This window comes from Homo sapiens, chromosome 17 (assembly GCF_000001405.40).
Source record: "Homo sapiens chromosome 17, GRCh38.p14 Primary Assembly".
Lineage (NCBI taxonomy): Eukaryota > Metazoa > Chordata > Mammalia > Primates > Hominidae > Homo > Homo sapiens.
The window spans coordinates 71,114,367-71,136,854 of NC_000017.11; the positions used below are offsets into that span (position 1 = coordinate 71,114,367).

At 39.5% G+C, this 22,488-nt stretch overlaps 1 long non-coding RNA gene across 1 annotated transcript in view; it reads right to left on the reverse strand.

The window, feature by feature from the left end:
• Positions 1 to 22,488, reverse strand: part of CASC17 (cancer susceptibility 17) — a 104,406-nt gene that overhangs the window by 16,593 nt on the left and 65,325 nt on the right. The window contains exon 3 of the long non-coding RNA NR_104152.1: positions 18,024 to 18,104. This is a non-coding gene — a long non-coding RNA (cancer susceptibility 17). The remainder of the gene's footprint in view (positions 1 to 18,023; positions 18,105 to 22,488) is intronic.

Here is a 22,488-nt window from a genome sequence, read left to right on the forward strand (position 1 = left end):
TAATAACTAAAGTAAGCAAGTTAATCAAATACTACAATATAGGGTTTGAGTGTCCCTACCCTTGCAATGGCTACTTCCAATGTTTAATCATAGGCAATTTATCCCAGGAGTATTATGGGCTTAAAATAATAAGAAGAAGAATAATAATTATGAAACATAATAAACAATGAATTTAGCTAGCCCTTCATTTTAATGTATCCTGTATGCATTGGTTAATTAGCTTTGCTATAACAAAAAAAAATCAATATACAGTGACTTAAAGAAGAGAGATATTGGCCGGGTGCAGTGGCTCACGCTTGTAATCCCAGCACTTTGGGAGGCCAAGGCGGGCAGATCACGAGGTCAGGAGTTCGAGAGCAGCCTGACCAATATGGTGAAATCCCATCTCTACTAAAAATACAAAAATTAGCCAGGCATGGTGGCACGTGCCTGTAATCCCAGCTACTCAGGAGGCTGAGGCAGGAGAATCAAATGAACCTGGGAGGCAGAGGTTGCAGTGAGCCGAGATTGTGCCACTGCACTCCAGCCTGGGCGACAGAGCTAGACTCTATCTCAAAAAATAAAAAAAGAGAGATATTTATTTCTCCTCCGTATCACTTCTCTGAGTTGAGCAGTTCAGGTTGATGTGATGGCTTGGCTGTATGAGGTTTGTCCCGCGCTCCACTTTTTTCTGTCTTTTATTCACCCACTATCCCCTTGAGCAGGTGTCGGCAAACTGCAACCAAAGCTCAAATTCAGCCTGCTGTTTTTGTTTATAAAGTTTTATTGGAACACTGCCTCACCTAGTTGTTCTTGTATTGTCTGTGACTCCTTTGATGCTACAACAGCAGAGTTGAGTACCTCAGTGACCTTATGGTCTCTAAAATATTCACTATTTGACCTTTTACAGAAAAAGTTTGCAAATCTCTGCCCTGTGATCATCTGCATGTTCAAAGCTGGATCAAAGTCTCAACAAGACAGCCTCGAGAGGCAGAAGTTACACACTTCACTTTTTTTCCATTCTACTTGTTTCTGTATTCATTCAATCAATATTTGAACACCAATTTGTGCTGACCACAGCTCTAGTTACTTGGAACACATTCCATTAGTAAAAATTTAGTCACATGGCAACCTGCAGCCACCGGAGGGTTTAGAATAAAATGAAGCCTCCAAGGAAGGCTATGTGGCCAGCTTAAGCTCATTATAATTAGCTTTCCACTTTGCAACTGTAAATTGTTACCTGGCAATAGGATTATGTGATTAAGAAAAAAGTAGGGAACAGATAGCCCTGGAAGAGAACCAGGATGAAAAGCAAGACATCGAAAGATTTTCATATGATTAAGATTTCGTAATTGAAGACTGGATTTCTCAACTAACAGATGTTTATCGAGCTTCTTCCATAAGCCAGACTTAGAGAATACAGTGTTGAAAAAACCATGTGATCTCCATGAATTTACTACTTCATAATCTAAGAAATTAGTGTGCAACATCCGTGTCCTTTCTAAGACGCTTACTTCATACAGGGAGGAACACTCTATTTCTCAATGCAGCAATCATTCTTCTATTGAATAGAAATTTTGTAAAAAACAAACCTATATTAGCTTTCATCAGCTTTATTTCTCCAAAGTCTTGTCTGCACATTTATTCTTTCAGAGGCAACAAACAAAATTCCATACTCAGGTATTGGTTCCCTTTTGATGCTCCGAGAAGCACTAATTAATGTTTTAGAAAAGGTATAAAGGATACGCTACATCAGGGAGTTCTGGAATGAAAGAGAACCATTCCACTGAATTTATAATCTTGCAGGTACGTGGTAGCTATTGTTGTAGTTACAATACTTACAAAATACCTAAAAAACAGCCTAATTGACAAGCATCCTGACTGTTTGCATTTACAAGTCAATTTCATTAAAGAATTACCTCATTTGATCGTCACAGAAACCACAGGATATAGATATGACTGAAGAGATTAAGGAGCTAGGAAATAAATCTGGGACTCTGAAAACAGGTCTAATTCTGATCCTGAGAAGCATCCAGGTTGTTTGAGAAATGAAGACCAATAAGAATGAAAGCCAAAGAGGAAAATGTGGGTGTAAACTGACTATAATAGAATGCTACTGTTTGCATAGAAGTTTATAAGAACAAAATAAGACAGAAGAGAATGAGAAGATCCAGGACTATGAGTTCAGTATTGTGCTTGTTTAATATCGAGATTTCAGTCCTACTGAATCATAATATCTGGAAATGGGGCCTCGGAAACTGAGTATTTAACGAGCTGCCTATGTGATTTTGATGAATAGTCAAAGTAGAGGGCTACAGTATAAAGAATGTTCCTGTATCCTGGGATGAAGCAAAAAGAATCAGGACACAGAAGCTGGCAGCGGCAATAGAAAACAGAAAGCTTAGAGGACATGTGTCCACTTATTTATCTACGAATATTTATTAACCATGTATAATATTCCAAGCTCTGTGCTGGGTGCTAGGAGACAATGGTGAGTAAAAGAGGGAAGGCTTTTCTACTCATGAAGTTTACACTCAAGATAAAACCTCCTAAAGAAGTAAAGAGACCTACTATTTGATAGCACAACACGGTGACTATAGTCAAGAATAACTTAATTCTATGTTAAAAAAAAACTTGAGTGTAACTGGATTGTTTACAACTCAAAGGATAAATGCTTAAAAGGATGGATACCCTATTCTCCATGATGTGCTTATTTCACTTTTTATGCCTGTATCAAAACATCTCATGTACCCCGTAAATAGATATACCTACTATGCAACCACAAAATTTAAAAATAAAAAAAGCAAAGAGAACCCATGATGCCAGACTGAAATAAAAACAGTAAAGCAGAGGATATTTTTAAATTGCTCTAAGATTTCTAACATAAAATAGTAGGAAAAGCGTGGCTTCATTTAAATGAAGGAATTGGGAAATAATAATATTATGATAAGAAATACATTCCCCCCAGTTTGGGTAAGACGGGGTTTCAGCTGATGTGAGGGCATGTTGAATTTGGGGTACCTCTGAAAAAAAATAGGAATGGGAGAAAAGTTAGTCCAGGGACAGGCCTAGGAAAGCAGGTATTTGTCTAATCTGATGTTTATTGGAAGCCATGAGAATCAATGAATGTATCCAGAAAGTGAGACTATGAACAAGACAAATCTGATGGTAACATTTTTAGCTTTAAGACTCACAGATAAAAAGCCAGGCAAAGAGAGAAAGTGATCATATTCAATGAATACAGGAGGAAAGATGAGAGCAGAAAGAATCCAACTAGGAAACCACACAGTTGGAAACCAACGAAGAATTTTGAGGATGACGTTGAGGTCATGAAGAGGTCAATGAGCATAAGGATTGAAGACACCCACGTGAGTAAATCAAATTTAACACTTTGGAGAGCAGATTTAGGAAGACAATGAGAAATAAAGGAGAGATTTTAGAGTGCCTGACAGCAAGTAGGCAGATACAACTTAGGGACAGCGGATATAGGTCACTAATGAAGAATAAAAGTTTAAAAAGTAGCTCGAAGACAACCTGAGCATTACTGAGAATAGGAACAACAACAACAAAACCATGTAAAGGAAGTAATTGAAAAGTACAGAAAAAGAGTGGAAAATTCTATAAATGAGGAAGAAATGGCTCCAGGGGAGTTTTAATAACTAGAAATAACATACAACCTTTCAAGTCATTTTATTCCAGAAAAAGATTACCTGTATCCATTTAAACGCAATTGTTAACTGTGTTTTCTTTCATTTAATTGTTTTAGGTTCTGAACATAGAAGAGGTCTGTTTTCCTATCATTCGACACTGAAATGACGTTTCCAGGATAAAATTCTCCAATTCATGTCGAGTGTGCTTATCCATGTTTTCCCCAGGTGACCATCTAACCCCCTCAATATTTTTTTCCACCAGGTGGCAATGCCCTCTTACTATTGAAGAGCTGAAAGCTCAACATGACAAAAACAGTGAATAACCTGGGTTTCTGAAAGAACATTCTGACAACTGTCTTTGTTTAGAAAGTTGACATTTTCATCAGAGTTGCCTCCTGGAAAATCCATTACAGATTCCCAAACTGCTGATTATACACAACCTGAGAAGAAATCTAAGGGAAGGTGACTGGCTGCTTTATATCAAAAGAAGGTCACCTAATGTCTTAAACTCAAAGTGTGTTTTTTTTTTTTAGAAAGAAGGAGAAAAGGTTTTTGATAATCTGAAATTTTGGCAGCATAGGGCAGATAACAGAAAGTCTGATCTACTCTCAAGAAAGAAAGGATGGATAAAACAATTGATTAAGAAAAAAAACACAAAATGAGAGAGTGAGGGAAAATTTTAGGGATTGATTTATATATATTTTAAATTAGTAATCAATAAATATTTGATGAATGAATGAAAGGACAGAAAAGAGAGTATCTGATGAAATGCAATATTCTATGATCTAGTACTCCAGAAATTGTTGAAAGAAAAGGAAACATTTTGAGAAACATCAAGTTTAGAATATAGACTGGAACAGGGGTCAGCAAACTGTGATCCATGAGACCATTCTGGCTTAACACCTGTTCTTGCAAATAAAGTTTTATTGGAACAACCACATTCATTTATTCACAAATCAACTATGGCTGCTGCCATGTGCTGTAACTGCAGAACTATGTGTTTTCCACATAACACCAGGCCCACAAATCCTAAAAGACTTACTAACTGGCCCTTACCATGAAAAGTGTGATGATTTCTGGAGTAGCATTTAAGGACATGGGTTTTAGAACCAGATAAATATAAACTTCAGTCTCAGTTCTAACACTTAATAGCTGTTTGACCTTAACTAAATTGTAAGGGTTAATGTAGGCCTTGCTTTTAAAACACTTAGCACCCTGCTGATACACAGAAATCATATTACTCATTACTATCTCTCTTGTGTAAACTCAATGAGAAACTGAGATAATTTCCTCAACTCTCATTAATCCTCAAAAACGAAAATATTTTGTAATTATAGACAAACGGTGGAGAATAAATGTACCTCCTTTTAATTCTGGCAAACCTGCTTTCTCCAAATAACTCCTCTCTGTTTCCTTCTCTTTCAGTAGAGTCAAACTCTTGATGACGGTATTTAGCAGTTGGTAAATGCCTAGTGTGCTGAGTCTGTGCAGATCTGATACTCTTCACAGTCCCTGACCAAAGCCCCGGATCCTGAATCTTACAAAATGCAATGGAATCTTGAAAAATAGAAAAGACATGGGGCAAGTATTCAAAACTTACCCTAAGTGCTTCTGACCCTGAATAGCTAAGGCTCAAAATTGGCTTACAGAACATGCAATGATGATTTTGATGGTTTTTCGTTCTAGTTTCTAACTAATTCAGTGTTTGGCTGCCAGTAAGGGCCTTTGGCAAACACCTATAGGAGAAGTGTCTAAAATGTAAAGTGAATCACTGGAAATGGGAACTCTGTCAAAATAAGGGAATTAAGTTCATTAAAGGTGTGGTAGCTTAATTTACTGTGCCAGTTCATACTGATCAGGGTTGGCACTGAACACTCAGCTAGTGCAAACCCACCCAAACTTGGCAGAATAAATGACCCCAACCAATCCAGCCTCTTGGCTTTCTCTCCAGGTTAAATGTGCTTAAATTAGTAAAAATTGGGTTTGGACTATGGGCCTTTCTTGTCTTCTAGATTGGGGCTGTGTTGTATCAACTCCATGAGACAAACAGCAAAGACAACTTTGCTCATGGGGTAGAATGGTTGACATCTCCAGGTGAGAAAAATGGCCTCAAAAGTCCCAGAGTCTTTGGGAACTGCATCAAACAACCAAGGAATTTATGTCCAAACTCTGTAAACACACATTTCCAAGATGGCATTTAGGTAGATGGCCTCTTGGTAGAAAACTAAGTAGGTCCCTGGAGAGCAAGACGTGAGAGCCAGGTGAGGCTGCTCCTGGGATCACTATAACCACATTGGACATGATACAAAGTCAGGAGGTAGTGTGTGGGATGTGATAGGGGTCCACTTGCTGACACACAAACCTTAAAACCTAGATGAGGTTCACGTGGGCATGGGGTACCATGTCAAAACACAGTGTGCCAACTACTTCTATGAGGAGCACGGATTTGCCTCACCATAGAAGAGGAGAGCTGTAGGTGTTTCAACTGACACTTTCACAGATCACTTCAATATATGGAAATCCTATTTTGCATGTGATTTACACAGTTGAATTTATTCAAAAGAGATTTATGTTGTAATTTGCTAAGTACTCTGAATAGAAAATTAAAGTGACTGTCCCTGCCCTCATAGAGCTGATGTTCTGGTAGAGGAGACAGGCTTTTACATGAATAGCTATAATGGTATTTGAATAATAGCAAACAACAGGCAAGGGCAGGGTGCTAAACAAAGAAAGGAATTAAAGAAATTAAGTAATGCTTTGTCAAATGGTGATGTTGGACCTGCACCATGAGGGATATGAAGATAGTGTCATTCCCTGGCCCTCTGCCCTTCATTATGTTTTCTAAAAAGGGACCAGAAGATTTACTTAAAAAGCAGCCATAACTATAAATGCATATTCTTCTCTCCTTTTCCTCAGCTCCACATTTTACTAGCACTGTTGGATTTCCCTAGGACCCTAGTGAAACAACCAGAAATTTGGATAAGAACATTTAAGAAAAATAACGTATCTCTGTTTCATTACACGTGGATTATTTTTTTGATGTTTCTTTCTGTCAGTCAGAAATGGACAGGTGAAAATGTTATGTAAACCCTCAATATCAGTCATCTTTATAGTTACACTAGTATTCCAGCCATTCTTTTCATTAAAACAAATAAAAAAAAAACTTGGGAAGAGACTACCACGTTTAGTTAGAAAACAGTACAGTCAGCTTCTTTTTTTCTTTTTTAATGTGTTTTTATGGTTTGCTTGTGTGCTTTTCATCAAAAAATTCTTACTGTCAAATTAATTGAGAAACTTACAGTAATTGATGGCCATTCTGGGATGTCTCAACAATACTGCTGCCCTAAATAATATTTCCTAATGATTATTAAGCCTGAATAAATGAGTTTTTAAAGGTTGTCAGTATAGCCTATTTCATAAATATTTATTGAGCACTGTATTAGCCTGTTTTGCAGATAAGGGAATACTGGAGGCTGGGTAATTTATAAATTAAGAAAGGCTTATTTGGCTCACAGTTATGCAGGTTGTGCAAGAAGCATGGTGCTGGCATGTACTTGGCTTCTGGTGAGGCCTCAGGAAGTTTACAATCATGGTAGAAGGTGAAGGGGGAGCAGGCATGTCACATGGTGAGAGAGGGAGCAAGAGAGAGAAGGAGGTGCCAGGCTCCTTTAAACAACCAGCTCTCAAATGAACTACTAGAGCAAGAACTCACTCGTTACCATGGGTATGGCACCAAGTCATTTATAAAACATCCATCGCCATGACTGAAACACCTCCCACCAGGCTCACCTCCAACATCGAAGGTTACACTTCAACATGAGATTTGCATCCAAACTATATCAAGCATCTATAATGTGCCATGTGCTAGGCAATGGGCATAGCAGAAACAATTATGAGCAAGACAGACACAAACCCTTGCTCTCTTCATCTAATATAAGATACCAATATTATCACAGTGATGATTTTAAAAAAAGAATGCCCAAAAGATTTCCAACTAGGATGTTAAAGAGGAAGAAAAGGACAATTACATGGAAAGTAGGAATGTGGCTGAGAATAGAAAAGGCAGCATGGATACCTAATTTATAGAAAATTGACTTAAATTTTATTGGCAGGAAGAATCATTTATGACCTTTTACTATAGCCCTTAGGGTTTAGGTTGACCAACGGATTCACATGAATGTCGTGGCATTTTATAAGGAAAAAAATTGTAACAAAAAAGAGCAAATGTGAGACATGCCATGAGAAGGCTAAAAAAATCTTTATCATAAAAAATGAGCAAGAAAAAATGTAATGACTTTTTAAAAAAAATACTGAAACAGAAAAGTTCAAAAATCTCTTCTATAAGGGTTATCCTTGCTGCAGAGATTCTAACCTTGGCAAATGAGAATCTGCTTTTCTTAACCACTCTTCACTTTTCTATCACTTATTTCACTCCCAGTATTCTGCGTCGCACTCATTTGCTGCATACAGCAGAAAATGGTTACTATTTCTACTTTTTGTGGTGCTAATGCATTTTCTCTGACAATATTCGTAGAGAAATTGTAAGAAGGAAAAAAAATCATCGCTCAAAATATGAAAGCAATTTCATAGTAGGTTTACTGGTACATATTTGTGGTTATAGGGAAAAAAGTGTGCTCCTTTTCAATTTTTTATAGGGTAAGATACCAGGCATTGCAGATATGGGAATATAGTGAAAAAGTCTCACATAGGCTACAATCCTCAGGAAGGTGATAGGTTTGCTATAAAATAGCATTTAGAAAACATTTTTAATAAGTGTGCTATATTAATCAGAGTTCTTCAGAGAAACAGAACCAATGAGGGGAGGGGAGAGACAGAGAGAGAGAGAGAGAGAGAGAGAGAGAGAGAGAGAGATTGAGATTGAGAGAGATTATTACAAAGAATTGGTTCCCATGATGATGGAGGCAGAGCAGTTCCATGATCTGCCATCTGCAAGCCAGAAACCTAGGAAAGCTGGTGGTGTAATTCAACTGAAGTCCAAAGGCAGGAGCTCATGGTCTGAATCCCAGTCTGTGGGCAGAAGAAGGTGAGATGAGATGTTCTAGCTCAAGCAGTAAGGCAGAAAAGAAACAAACAACAACAACAAAAAAAGTGTCTTCCTCCTTCCTCTGCCTTTTGCTCTGTCCAGATCCCCAGTGGATTGGATGAAGCCCACTTGCATTGAAGAAAGCAATCTTATTTTACTGGGTCCACTGATTCAGAAGCTGATCTCATCTGAAAATATCCTCATAGACACACCTGCAGATGTTTAATCTGGGCACCTCTTGGCCCAAGTCATTTTGACACAAAAAGTTAGCCATGGCATGTACTAAAACTGAAATCATACTAAGAGTGTATTCTTTAGTACTCCATGGATGTCTTCCTTCAAAGTTTAGCTATTTAAGATTTATGTCATTATATAAACAATAGAGAATTACTCTGTTTCTGTTGATTGTTTTTTTTTTCTTTCAGTGTTATCACCAGGCCAACTTTATGGGAATTTGAAATACTAATAACATCAACAAATAACAATACATGGTTGGTATCTCTTTAATAGTTATCAATTGGGAAAATCAAAGTATTTACAAAATGTATGCAGGAAACCACTAAAACCTTCAGTGAGAGGAATATCAGATACTCTTATCCAGTACAGGTTATAAAAAGAATTGTATTCATTGAATATGTGTCAGAAACTATTCTAGAAACTTTACATAGAGCAGCCGAGTCTTCATGAGCACTCCATGAACAAAGTTTTATTATCCTCTTAGACTGAAGAAGACACTGAGACAAGAAGCGGTTAAATTACAGTATCAGGACCCCAGATGGCTAAAGCTGGAGGCTGAATCCCCTACCTGGGTGCCTATTTTTAGGTATTTAGGTATAACAACATGTTCTAGAGATAATCAGTACACAACAGTGACAACATGACCTGGGGTACTTTTCCATACCCTCCTTGCCCCCCTTATCCCTAGTACAAGAGTTAAAAAACTCTCAGTGCTAAACACCCAGAAAGCTGAGAAAATTATATGGGTGCACACAGGCACAGCTAAATCACTAGTGATTTCACAACCCTAGGAAATCTCTCTTAATATATTAGGCTACTGTGGGTTATTTAGTTTTTTTCATATAAACATACTAACAACATAGTTCATATTGCACTGCAGTCTGCTTTTGCAGTTATCAATATATCCTCAACATATTCTCATGACCTTAAATGTTCTTCTAAATCAAAGGTCAGCAATGGATAGTCCACGAGCCAAATATGGACTGTAATTTTTTTTGTTTGTTTTTTGAGACAGAATTTTTCTCTTGCCCAGGCTGGTGTGCAATGGTACGATCTCGGCTCACTGCAACCTCCGCCTCCTGGGTTCAAGCGATTCTCCTGCCTCAGCCTCCCAAGTAGCTGGGATAACAGGCGCACACCATCACACCTGGCTAATTTTGTATTTTTAGTAGACATGGGGTTTCTCCATGTTCATCAGGCTGATCTCGAACTCTCGACCTCAGGTGATCCACCAGCCTCAGCCTCCCAAAGTGCTGGGATTACAGGCTTGAGCCACCGTACCTGGCCAATCTTTTTTGTAAATAAATTTTTGTTTTGAGAGAGAGTATCTCACTCCATCACCTAGGCTGAAGTGCAGCGGCACAATGATAGCTCACTGCGGCCTCGACCTCCTGGGCTCAAGTGATCCTCCCACTTCAGCCTTCCAAGTAGATGGGACTACACATTTGTGCCACCATGCTCAGCTAATTTTTTTAAAAAAAATTTTGTAGTGACAAGATCATGCTATGTTACTTAGGCTGTTCTCAAACTCCTGGGCTCAAGTAATGCTCCCACCTTGGCCTCCCAAAGTGCTGACATTACAGGCATGAGCCACTGTGCCACCATAAACACAGTTTTATTGCAACATAGCTATGCCTATTTGTTAACATATTATCTGTGGCTGCTTTTGCTAGCTGCTTTGGCCAAGTTCAGTAACTGTGACAGAGACCAAAACATTTATCATCTTGCCGACTTCTGATTTCTAATAACTATGTCTAACATGATGGTAAACAGAATTCCACAAAAGTATTTAAACAAATAGTGATGTGACATTCTGTTTGATATTTTCCTGGAATAACAAAACTTCCCACTGCTTTGAGAAAAAAAAAAACTCGCCAATATTTTTATGATCAAATAAAAAATACATGAACATAATTACTTATCATGGGCTTCCTAGAGGACCAATGTGTAGGATGATCATGTGATCTATCTCCAATGTATAAACCAGACAGGATAACAATACCATATCTGGACTGTCTGCAATAAACTGAGATCTACAGTAACCCTCTTAATGTTCAACAATCCATTCATTATTTTCTCATTTTAACTAAGTCTCCAAATGCATTGTATTCTGGCAACTGATGTTCCAATCTTCTCCCTCTTCTCTACTTTGCTTCTCTTTCCATCTTCATCTGAATCTGTCTTGAGGAAAAAGTTACTCGCATTCTAGATAAGAGGACACCCCAGCTCGCTCCTGATCGGTCTTCACCTGCACTTCCTGTGTTACAAACATAAAAATCCTGCACAATTTCACAACAAATTCCTTGGATCCTTATGCTTTCTCTCATAATTCCTGACCACACTCTCTATACAATTTGTTCACTATGTAGTATATAAGTTTTATGTAGTGTTAGAGCCGTTAAAGTGAACATTTAGAGGGGGAAAAAAAGGGGAAAAAGTTAAAGAAACAGGGAGTTTCTTTCCAAAGAATGCTTCATGGTGGCTCCAACTGGGCCCCTACTCGGAAATGCTGAATCTCGTGTATGAACCCTTCAGTGGCAAAGGAAAACAGGCCACCCTTATTAGAAATTTTCTACAGCTAAAGATGTAACATCATAGCTAAATTCAGTTGGAGACAGGTCGAGCAACAGAAACCAGGAGCCAAGGCAGTCTAGTCGGCTCTGAAATTTGATTCAGGCACCAGATTATGAATAGATTTAACTAGTTCGCCAAATGAAAATGTAGATTTTGGCACCGACTAAATTTTTTTTTTGCAGGGGGTGGGGGTATTCTATATGTGGAGTCCCAACACACACTGAGGGATATGAAAAAGAGCTTTTTATATTATATAACTATTCAGGGTATGTTAAGGGGAAAAACACAATTAACTCAATAAATGCCAAAAAAATGTTCAACCTCTTTTTACTACCTTATGCATCCAAACTTTCTTTCTTACCTTAATTTATAATGCAAGCTTTTTCATTATTCAAAATGACACAGCACCACCCAGCCATCAATAACCAAGTAGTTACCTATGTAAACTTATTAAATTGCATACATCTGGTCCATTCTCTTTCTGTAGGAGCAGTGATATGACAAGAGCCGTAACTCCCATAGCAGGTAAGTAGCACATTGTCAGTAAGGATGTGGAAATCAAAGTTTAATTGTCCTGAGGTTTCTCAGATTCCTTTTCCTTTCCTGGTGAGGGTGGCAATGTGTGCCCCTGACACAATGCACTCTAATTTCCTTCTATTTCCTTAGCATAGGCCCTCAAAGCCCCATTATTCCAGATTTTGTGATAAACAAATATTAAAACAAATAAAAAATAAATGAGCTTACATGGGATACCTTTCTACCTCAACATTGCAACCTGCTTCCCCTCAATTTCCAGTCTTGCTTGCTTTGCTTTAATAAAAGTTTCCAAATGGTTCTTCTTTAAAACATACTTTTGCAACACCAAAAAAGCTAACTGCATTGAAGAATGGCTCTGATGTTGTTCAATGTGCGCAACACAGAATTCAATAAAAACACATTTGATTTTAAAGGGATTTATTGCAAGACATATCTTTAGTAACTTTTGATAACTCTCTTTTACTTATAACATGGTGTTTCCAGATGGGTTGAAAGATAAACAAATTTGCTTGTTGCGTGTGTGTGTGTGCATGTGTGTGTGTGTGTCCCTCAAGTGGAGTTAGTCTGGTAAGTTCAATGGAAGAACATGACTGTTAGTCTCTACCTGGTGAGCAAAGAAGACTGTCAGCCTCTGTGTGTCTAAAGGTAGTGTAGTGAGATAGAGGAAACCCAGGATTAAGTGTCAAATTCCGGCTCAACCATTCTACGGCTGCATGGCCTTAACGTAGGTTCCTAATATTTCTAAAACTCAGGTTTCTATCTCAACATTAAAATAATGATACTCATTTAATGAAATTTAAAAACATGGTAGTTATTCTGAGAAAGTTTCTGATTCAAAACACACTCAATGCGTGTAAGTCACTGAGTGAAATATAATGCACGGGAAATAGTTTTTACTCAAAAAAACTGATCATTCAAGAGCAAGCACACAGTTTCAGGCATTTCTGACTTTAGTAGAGACTAATCCAGTCCAAATAAATAGAGTGGAGGAGGTTTCTTAGGTGTCATGTGGGAACCGTACTAATCAAGAGAGCTGCTTTGTCATTTAATTCAGCTTCTTCTTTAGGATGGGACATTTACTCCCAATAGCATTAAGAATTGACTGACATCTGCTTTAAAATAAAACTAAGCTATATGAGTATGCCCACATAAATTCTCTAGATACCTAATATATTGTGATAGACCAATCATATTTCCAAATCCAGGCAATAAGCCAGATTATATCAGCATTTACTATGTCATTAGTCATTTGGGTAAGCAGCATGTATAGTCGTATATATGCCTATGCTGAAAGTAAATTATAGTATTATAGTCTTAGTGTTAGAAAAGTCTTTGTAGTTTATCTAGTCCTGCTCTATATTTTGGTAAGAGACAAATCCTAACCACAGAGATAAAGTACTGTGCTCGAAGTAACAAAGTCAGGAAACAGAGATAAACAGTATTCTCAAGAGTTTTGTCTAATTGCTCATTTAACTTATAGCTAATGTTGAAATCCCTGCACATTCCTTTTTATGTGATCAGACAGTTCAACAAAAACACTTTCTGTATTGGAATTCGGCAATATTCTGTAAAGAAAATGTGGCACATACACACCATGGAATACCATGCAGCCATAAAAAATGATGAGTTCATGTCCTTTGTAGGGACATGGATGAAACTGGAAACCATCATTCTCAGCAAACTATCGCAAGGACAAAAAACCAACCACCACATGTTCTCACTCATAGGTGGGAATTGAACAATGAGAACACATGGACACAGGAAGGGGAACATCACACACCAGGGACTGTTGTGGGGTGGGGGAGGGGAGAGGGATAGCATTAGGAGATATACCTAATGCTAAATGACGAGTTAATGGGTGCAGCACACCAACATGGCACATGTATACATATATAACAAACCTGCACGTTGTGCACATGTACCCTAAAACTTAAAGTATAATAATCAAATTTAAAAAAAAAAATCTAATCTCTCCTAAACTCTGAAGTTAGTTAAGACCTTTGCAGACCTCATAACCTTTTAAATTCTGCTTTTTCTTTGGCAAGTTTAGGTTTTCTTGATTTAAAAATGTGATTAATTAAGATAAAAAATATTAAAAGGCACTCTCAAGCACCAGTTCCTAAGGACAAATGTGTAAATTAAGGCACAAGTAGCACAGACTATAGGAAGAGAGGGTGTGAAACAGACAGAGAGTCCGAGGAGAATATCATCAGTTTTCTTCTGTGCATAACTTTGGTGTGTTACTCCTGGGAGGAGGCATATTTATTGTTTGCCTAAATTATAGTAAAATATTATTTTAAGGAAACAAATTTCAACAGTAACAACATCTTATGTACTTTAAGTTGGGATGGTGGCGTTTGTCAGAATGAACGTGTCTTGGTCGATGGGAAAAGAATGCTAGCAAAATAGTACTAAATCCTGTACACAAACACGGTTCTCCCAAGATTTTGTGGTGTCTCCAAATCAGAAACAAGCTGAAGTGAGGAAGGTGTGTAGTGGAAATTAGGAAAGTCTCAGAGACCTAGCTGAACACTGAATGTGGGAGGAAAAACATTGGATTGTGGCTACCTCTTAGGTATAGCAGGTTTGGTGTGTGTGGGGTTGAATGTGTGTTTATGTGCGTGGTGGCAGTGTTATAAGGGATGCTCCTATACAACATTCTGGATGTGTACACTTTAAGATAAAATAGAAATTAAAACTAATTTGGCTTAAGATCCACTGAACAGTCAATCCACACTTTAGTGGCCTTGAGAAGTAAAACCTTTGCTACAATGGAAGCTAATGTCTTAAAAGGACCAAAGAGTTCTTTATGTAATCACTCAGAAGGAACCAGGGACTTATATTTTACAAAGAATATGTTTAACTTTGACCAGCATTAGTTTAATAAACACTGAAAATTGTAAATCTATTTCCTAACTTCAAGTGAAGTGTGGGAAGGGAGAATATGGCATTTCAAATACAGTAGAACCTACTAAATACGATTTAAAATTTTAACGTCTTAGGAAGACTGTTTTTCTCTTCATTCTTTATGCCTTGAAAGAAGATTAACAGGAACTTGATTTCCCCCTAGCAAAAAAGATATATTGGAGTTGATCATATTACACTAGGTATCTAAATAAGTGGCTTACATCTTATATTCTCACTAGGATACAGATATGCTGGCATTATCATTCAAACTATTACACTGTGCTATGATTGCAGAAATGCTGGTTGTCCTCATTAAAAAATATATTTCTATTTTTTTAAATACTCTAGAGGGTTCTGACAGTGAGAGAGGACTCAGAATTCACATAATTCAGTTAATAATAAAAACTGATTCTTAACAACTTGCCCGATCTAGGATGTTCACCATTGCTGATGAATTTTATGTTTTTTAAATATGTTTTTGTTTATTTGCAATATGTGTTTATGGATGAAGCAAAACATTTATGCAAATAGATTGCCTCATGGATAGAGCTGAATGTATTTTCTGGAATACAGAGATGTTTTTGCAAAAATGATTGAGCTGGGTATTTTACCCATACATGCTTTTAAATACCACAAGTCTCTAGACCACGTATGTACAGATAGAAAAACAAACAAGAAACCTCTAGAGGTATATTTGGATTACAGATGCCAGTGACTTGTGGTTGAATTTTACTCTGATTCCATTCAGGTATGTGATCTAGGAAGTAGTAAAAGATAGATGTTTAAAAAGTAAAATGCAATAAAGAAGAAAGTGTAAAGGAACAGCCGGACATATGCATATTTTCTGTCTATTAATGGAGATATTTTGATGAAAAGGGCCTAAGTATTTAGGGTATTTCATTAGCAGAGAAAATACACATGTCTTTCTTATTTCATTTCACTCGTGACACCATTGAGATTTTAGCCCAAACATCATGGCCACCTAATAGGCACCAGGGTATAGTTACCAGGAGCAATATTTAAGAAGGCAATGTTGCAATGAGATGGTTTTATCTCCTACAATGAGTATGCATTGACTTTTTTTAAAAAAAACAAATAACATAGTGAAACCCCGTCTCTACTAAAAACACAAAAATTAGCTGGGCATGGTGGTGAGCACCTGTAATCCCAGCTATTCGGGAGGCTGAGGAAGGAGAATTGCTTGAACCTGGGAGGCGGAGGTTGCAGTGAATCAAGATGGTGCCACTGCACTCCAGCCTAAAAATAAAATAGATGGAAAGCTAATCCAGGAATTTAAAAAAAGATACACTATGTTTTCTTCTTACTTATTAATTTAGCAGGTTTTTATAGCAGATAAACACAAGCATAAAAGAAATGAAATTATCTTTTACCTTCACTTTTTAGGCTAAATTGAGTGAAAATACTGGGTGTAAAATAATGTGTCAGAACAAGCAATATGAGATATTTAACGAGGTGTAGTAATGTTACATAATATTGTAACATTGATACAGCTAAAGCACACATTCAGTGTGGCATATATTGTTAGTAGGTGTGAATGAGTTTAATATTTGTATGTTTGTATAACTTTTTTTTTTTTTTTGAGATAGGATCTTGCTCTGTCACCTAGGCTGGAGTGCAGTGGCACAATCTCAACTCACTACAACCTCGACCTCCCAGGCTCAAGCAATCCTTCTGCCTCAGCCTCTCAAGTAGCTGGGACTACAGGTGCACACCACCATGCCTGGCTAATTTTTGTATTTTTTTGTAGAGACGGGATTTTGCCATGTTGCCCAGGCTTGTTTAGAATTCCTGGACTACTCATATTCGTGGGATTTATCTACCTTTGTCTTTGATGCTGGTGACCTTCAGATGGGGTTTTTGTGTGGATGTCCTTTTTGTTGATGTTGATGCTATTCCTTTCTGTTTGTTCGTTTTCCTTCTAACAGTCAGGCCCCTCTGCTGCAGGTGTGCTGGAGTTTGCTGGAGGTCCACTCCAGACCCTGTTTGCTTGGGTATCACCAGCAGAGGCTGCAGAACAGCAAAGATTACTGCCTGTTCCTTCCTCTGGAAGCTTTGTCCCAGAGGGGCACCTGCCAGATGCCAGCCAGAACTCTCCTGTATGAGGTGTCTTTCGGCCCCTGCTGGGGGGTGTCTCCCAGTCAGGAGGCATGGGGGTCAGGGCCCCACTTGAGGAGGCAGTCTGTCCCTTAACAGAGCTCAAGCGCTGTGTTGGGAGATCCACTGCTCTCTTCAGAGCTGGCAGGCAGGAATGTTTAAGTCTGCTAAAGCTGCCCCCACAGCTGCCCCTTCCCCCAGGTGCTCTCTCCCAGGGAGGTGATAATTTTATCTATAAGCCCCTGACTGGGGTTGCTGCCTTTCTTTCAGAGATCCCCTGCCCAGAGAGGAGGAATCTAGAGAGGCAGTCTAGCTACAGCAGGTTTGTGGTGCTGTGGTGGGTTCCGCCCAGTCCAAACTTCCTAGTGGCTTTGTTTACACTGTGAGAGGAAAACTGCCTACTCAAGCCTCAGTAGTAGTGGACGCCCCTCCTGCCACCAAGCTCGAGTGTCCCAGGTCGACTTCAGACTGCTGTGCTGGCAGCAAGAATTTCAAGCCAGTGGATCTTAGCTTGCTGGCCTCTGTGGGGGTGAGGTCCGCTGAGCTAGACCACTTGGCTCCCTGGTTTCAGCCCCCTTTCCAGGGGAGTGAATGGTTCTGTCTCCCTGGCATTCCAGGCGCCACTGGGGTATGAAAAAAAACTCCTGCAGCTAGCTCAGTGTCTGCCCAAATGGCTGCCCAGTTTTGTGCTTGAAACCCAGGGCCCTGGTGGTGTAGGCACCCAAGGGAATCTCCTGGTCTGTGGGTTGCAAAGACCATGGGAAAAGTATAGTATCTGGGCCAGAATGCACCATTCCTCACTGCACAGTCTCTCGTGGCTTCCCTTGGCTAGGGGAGGGAGTTCCCTGACCCCTTGCACTTCCCGGGCGAGGCGACACCCCACCCTGCTTCAGCTCACCCTCCATGGGCTGCACCCACTGTCTAACCAGTCCCAGTGAGATGAGCCGGGTACCTCAGTTAGAAATGCAGAAACCACCTGCCTTCTGTGTTGATCTCACTGGGAGCTGCAGACTGAAGCTACTTCTATTTGACCATCTTGCCTGCCACCTTGACCCCGTCTCCTAAAAAAGAAAAATCTTTCAATAGATAGAGATTTAAAATGGTTACAATGATATGCTTTATGTTATGTATATTTTACCACAATAAAAAGAATTTTTAATTTCCTTAGGGAAGTTACTTTACTCATTGAAAGCCATGAAGTTCACTTGTTACTGTTTGCATTTAGTTTGGGGTTTTCCCCCACCCTTGTAATTTCATTTTATTGGATATGTAAAGGATGAGCATACAATTAAAAGTCAAAATTGTATAGAAAGGTATACTCAAAGAAACATCATTTCCTCCCCTCCCCTGCAGCCCTACCCTTTCATCTCCTTCCCTAATTAGTAACAAGTTTCATTCATTTGTATATTATCAGTCTTGTTTTTTTTTACGAAATTATACAGATATGTGTACATTTTCTTTTTTTCTGTTCTTTCTGTCACAAAAGGTAGCATACTGCATATGTCCCTTTTCATTTTTCACTTTAAAATAAATTCTGGAAACATCTCTCTTTCAGTTCATAGAGATGTTTCTCATTCTTTAAATCAGTTAATAGTACCCCATAGTATGCATGTACCATAGTTTATTCTACCAACTATTATTTTTCTTATCTACCTTAATGCTTAAATTATCTCAGACTTGGCCAGTGAAAGCAGTCTTTTTCATTCTACACTTTAGGTAGTTTACAATATTTTACAATGACAATACCGCAATGAATAACTTTTGCATATGCTTTTCCACATTGTTAAACATGTGTCTTCAGGGTATATTCTTAAACATGAAATCCACAGGTAAAAAAAAAAAAATACATGCATTAGTAGTTTAGCTCAGTATTGCCAAATTGTCCTCCATGGGATAATAGCATTTTATATTTCAACCAGCAATGTATGAAAGTGCCTGTTGCCTTACAATCTTGCCAATCTTGTCAAGATTTTGGATTTTTTGTCAATCTGATAGGTGAAAAAAAACTGAGGGAATTACAAGCTTCAAATAAATAAGAGATTATTTCCTAAATATCTCTCTAAGAAAAGAGATTATTAAAGGTCATGTCTCTAATTTCAAAATCTATGTCATGTGCATCTGTAGGTCTGCTTCTATGGATGCTTTTCAAAACTAAATTATAGATGACATTTTCCTGCTTCTTCACATGTCTTATACTTTTTATATTTTATGATATATATTATGGACAAAAGAGAAGAGACTGAATCAAATAACAATTGTCCCCAAAATGGTATACCTTTTTGTGTCAAACAGCTAAAGTGAAGGGGTAATCTCTTCTATCTCACTAGGAGTTAAGCTGGGTAGTGGATCAGTAGCAGCTTTGGTTAGTTCCAGCTCAGAACTGGTTCTCTTGAGAGTGAGGTCAGACCCATTCCTCCATCAGGGCTCTACAAATGTTTCACCAAGCTCCTAAAGACTGTAAGATATATTTCTCCTTTCCAGCTTCTCCAGGCTCTTTGATCTCCTCAGGATGTCATCTGTGTGGTATTTGGGGTTCTGATTTAATGAACTTGAGTTATCTTTTAGTTTCAAGTGTTTTGGAGGTGAAGTCTGACCTCTCCAGTCCATGACACAGGCACAGTGGGACTAAGAGATAGTTCTAATCACCACTAACTCAGAAAAAGTAGGAAAGAATTGTTGAATCTGGAGGGTCTAGCTTTACATTTGGGGCTAACTTTACAGAGCCAGTTCCTCTGGCTGCTATAACAAGTTACTATAAACTTCATGGCTTAATACAACGCAGATTCATTATCTTGGAGTTTGGTAGATCAAAAGCCTGATGGAGATTTCACTGGACTAGGATCAAGATGTCAGCAGGGTGCACTTGTTTCTGGAGGCTCTGAGGGAAAATCCATTTCCTTGCTTTTTCCAACTTCTAGTGCTGCATTCCTTAGCTGATGGCCCCTACCTTATTCCTCAGAGCCGACAATGTCAATGTGTGTCCTCACGCTGCCATCTCTCTAGTGTTGTCTAATTCTCTCTTCAACCTTTAAGGACCTGTGTTATTACATTGAATTAACTAGAATAATCTCTGCATTTTAAGGTCAGCTGATGAGTTGCCTTAATTCCATCAACAACCTAAATTCCCCTTTGCCATGGAACCTAACATATTCAGAAGTTTCATGGTTTTGAACCTGAATATCCCTGAGGGGCTACTGTTCTACCTACCCTGGTACCTTCCAGATTCTCTCTTGTCATTCCAGCCTAGGGTAAACCTTCAACAAGAGTCTTCTCATTATGGAAAAATCTCTGTGACTGTGGCTGGCCATTGCCCTACCCATGCCACAGGTCGAATTCTTGGGAAGCAGGCTCTGAGATGGAGCCCAATGTGCAGTATGTTCATTGGACGTGCCCTTGGGCTCGTACCTGTGGAGGGAGGTGTGTTAGTGTCCTGGGACTGCCGCAGCAAAGTACCGCAAACCAGGTGGCTTAAGACAACAGACATTTGAGCCAGATGCGGTGGCTCACGCCTGTAATCTCAGCACTTTGGGAGGCCGAGGCGGGCAGATCACCTGAGGTCGGGAGTTTGAGACCAGCCTGACCAACATGGAGAAACCCCGTTTCTACTAAAAATACAAAATGAGCCAGGTGTGGTGGAGCATGCCTATAATCCCAGCTACTCAGAGGCTAAGGCAGGAGAATTGCTTGAACCTGGGAGGTGGAGGTTGCAGTGAGCCAAGATCGTGCCATTGCACTCCAGCCTGGGCAACAAAAGTGAAACTCTGCCTCCAAACAAACAAAGAAACAACAGCAACAACAAAAAACCCCAGACATTTATTGTCTTATGGATCTGGAGGCCAGAAGTCAGAAATCAAGGTGTGGGAAGATCTGCTCTCCCTCCAAAGGCTCCGGGGAACACTCTGTGCCTTGCCACTTTCAGGTTCTGCTGGCTACCACCATTCCTTGGCCTGTGGCTGCTACTTCAATCTCTGCCTTCACATGGCCTGCTCTTTTCCCTGTGTGTCTCTCCCATGTGTGTCTTTCATAAGAACATATCATTGGATTTAGGGCCCACCCAGATAATCCAGGATCATTTCACCTCAAATTCTTAACTTTGTCACATTTGTAAAGACCCATTTTTCCAAACAAGCTGACATTCACAGGTTCTAGGGATTAGGAAGTGAGTTTACATTTTTGGGGGGATTGGGGGATAGGGACCATTCAATCTAGTACAGGAGGATGGAATGCAGGACTGGACAGAAGGAGAAGTCGAGCTGCAATACAGGCCCAACTGCCTCAGCAAGCCACACAGAGAGCTATGTGACTGAAATGCCTGTTAGATTTTTCCTACATCGTGCAAAAATGCCCAGACCTTTATATTCCTGCCTCAGTCAGTCATAAAATGTGGCTGCTTTGGGAAGGGCAAGGTGACTGTAGCTGAAGCAACTTCTAGAGGGTTGACAGTGCTCCCAACAACAGGAGCAGCAGTGCTTCTTTGAAAGGGAATCTGGACGTTACATCTCCAGGTTCACTGGAATCTACTCTTGAGCTGCTAAAATCTGCTTCTTCATACACAGTCGGGAACAGCTCCTCCAACCTTACCTCTCATTATGGTACCATGCACCAGGCTTCTGACCTGCCATCTGTCTTTCTAGAGCCTTATCATCCGCAATGCTAGCCATGCCTCTTTCTATAATGGCTTCCCACCAGCCATGGTCTGCAGAGAGGGGACACTGCTGAGTTTCTTAGTGATGCAGTGCATTCCTGATGACCTCAGTAAATAGCAGAACTTCCATGCCTTATATCCAACGTGATCATCTGTTGAGTTTCTTATCCTTACATAATATATCCACTCCGGCAAGCCCTGTACCCTGAGTTCTTTAGCCCTTCCTCCACTGTCTGCTACAGTAGTTCTGGCATTTTCCCTCAGTTAGCCTAGGGAAGCGAGGAGGTGCAGGACATCATTTTGTCCATGCTTCTAGGAGTCCTTGCAGGGTAGTAAATTCTGTATCTTGGAAGAGTGCAAATAAATTATAAACTCTCCCTTATCCAGTCTTACGCTCAGAGCTCCCCTTGTCAAGCACACTCAGAATCCAGCCCCACACATGCGCCCCTGGCTCCTGCCAGAACGCACTCTCTGGGAATGGCAATCCTTTGTGGTATAGGCCTTTTCCTCCATTTTCAGGCCCTGTATTGTCTGTATTTTCAGCCTAAGACATCCTGTGACCTCTCCCTAGTGATACACCTAATGGCAAGGGAGGAGGGAGGGGTCGGATCCTCAGCCACATCCCTGCCTCACAAGGGAGAGGCCTTTGGATTGTCTACAAGGGAAGGGGATCTTTATGGGGAAGGGGTTCTTCATGGGGAAGGATGGGCCCCTTCTGAAGGCCCAGAACTTTCTGGGAAGTGTACATATTTAAGGTTTTCAGGGTTCAGGGTTTTCAATGTAGATATCTCATCCCATAT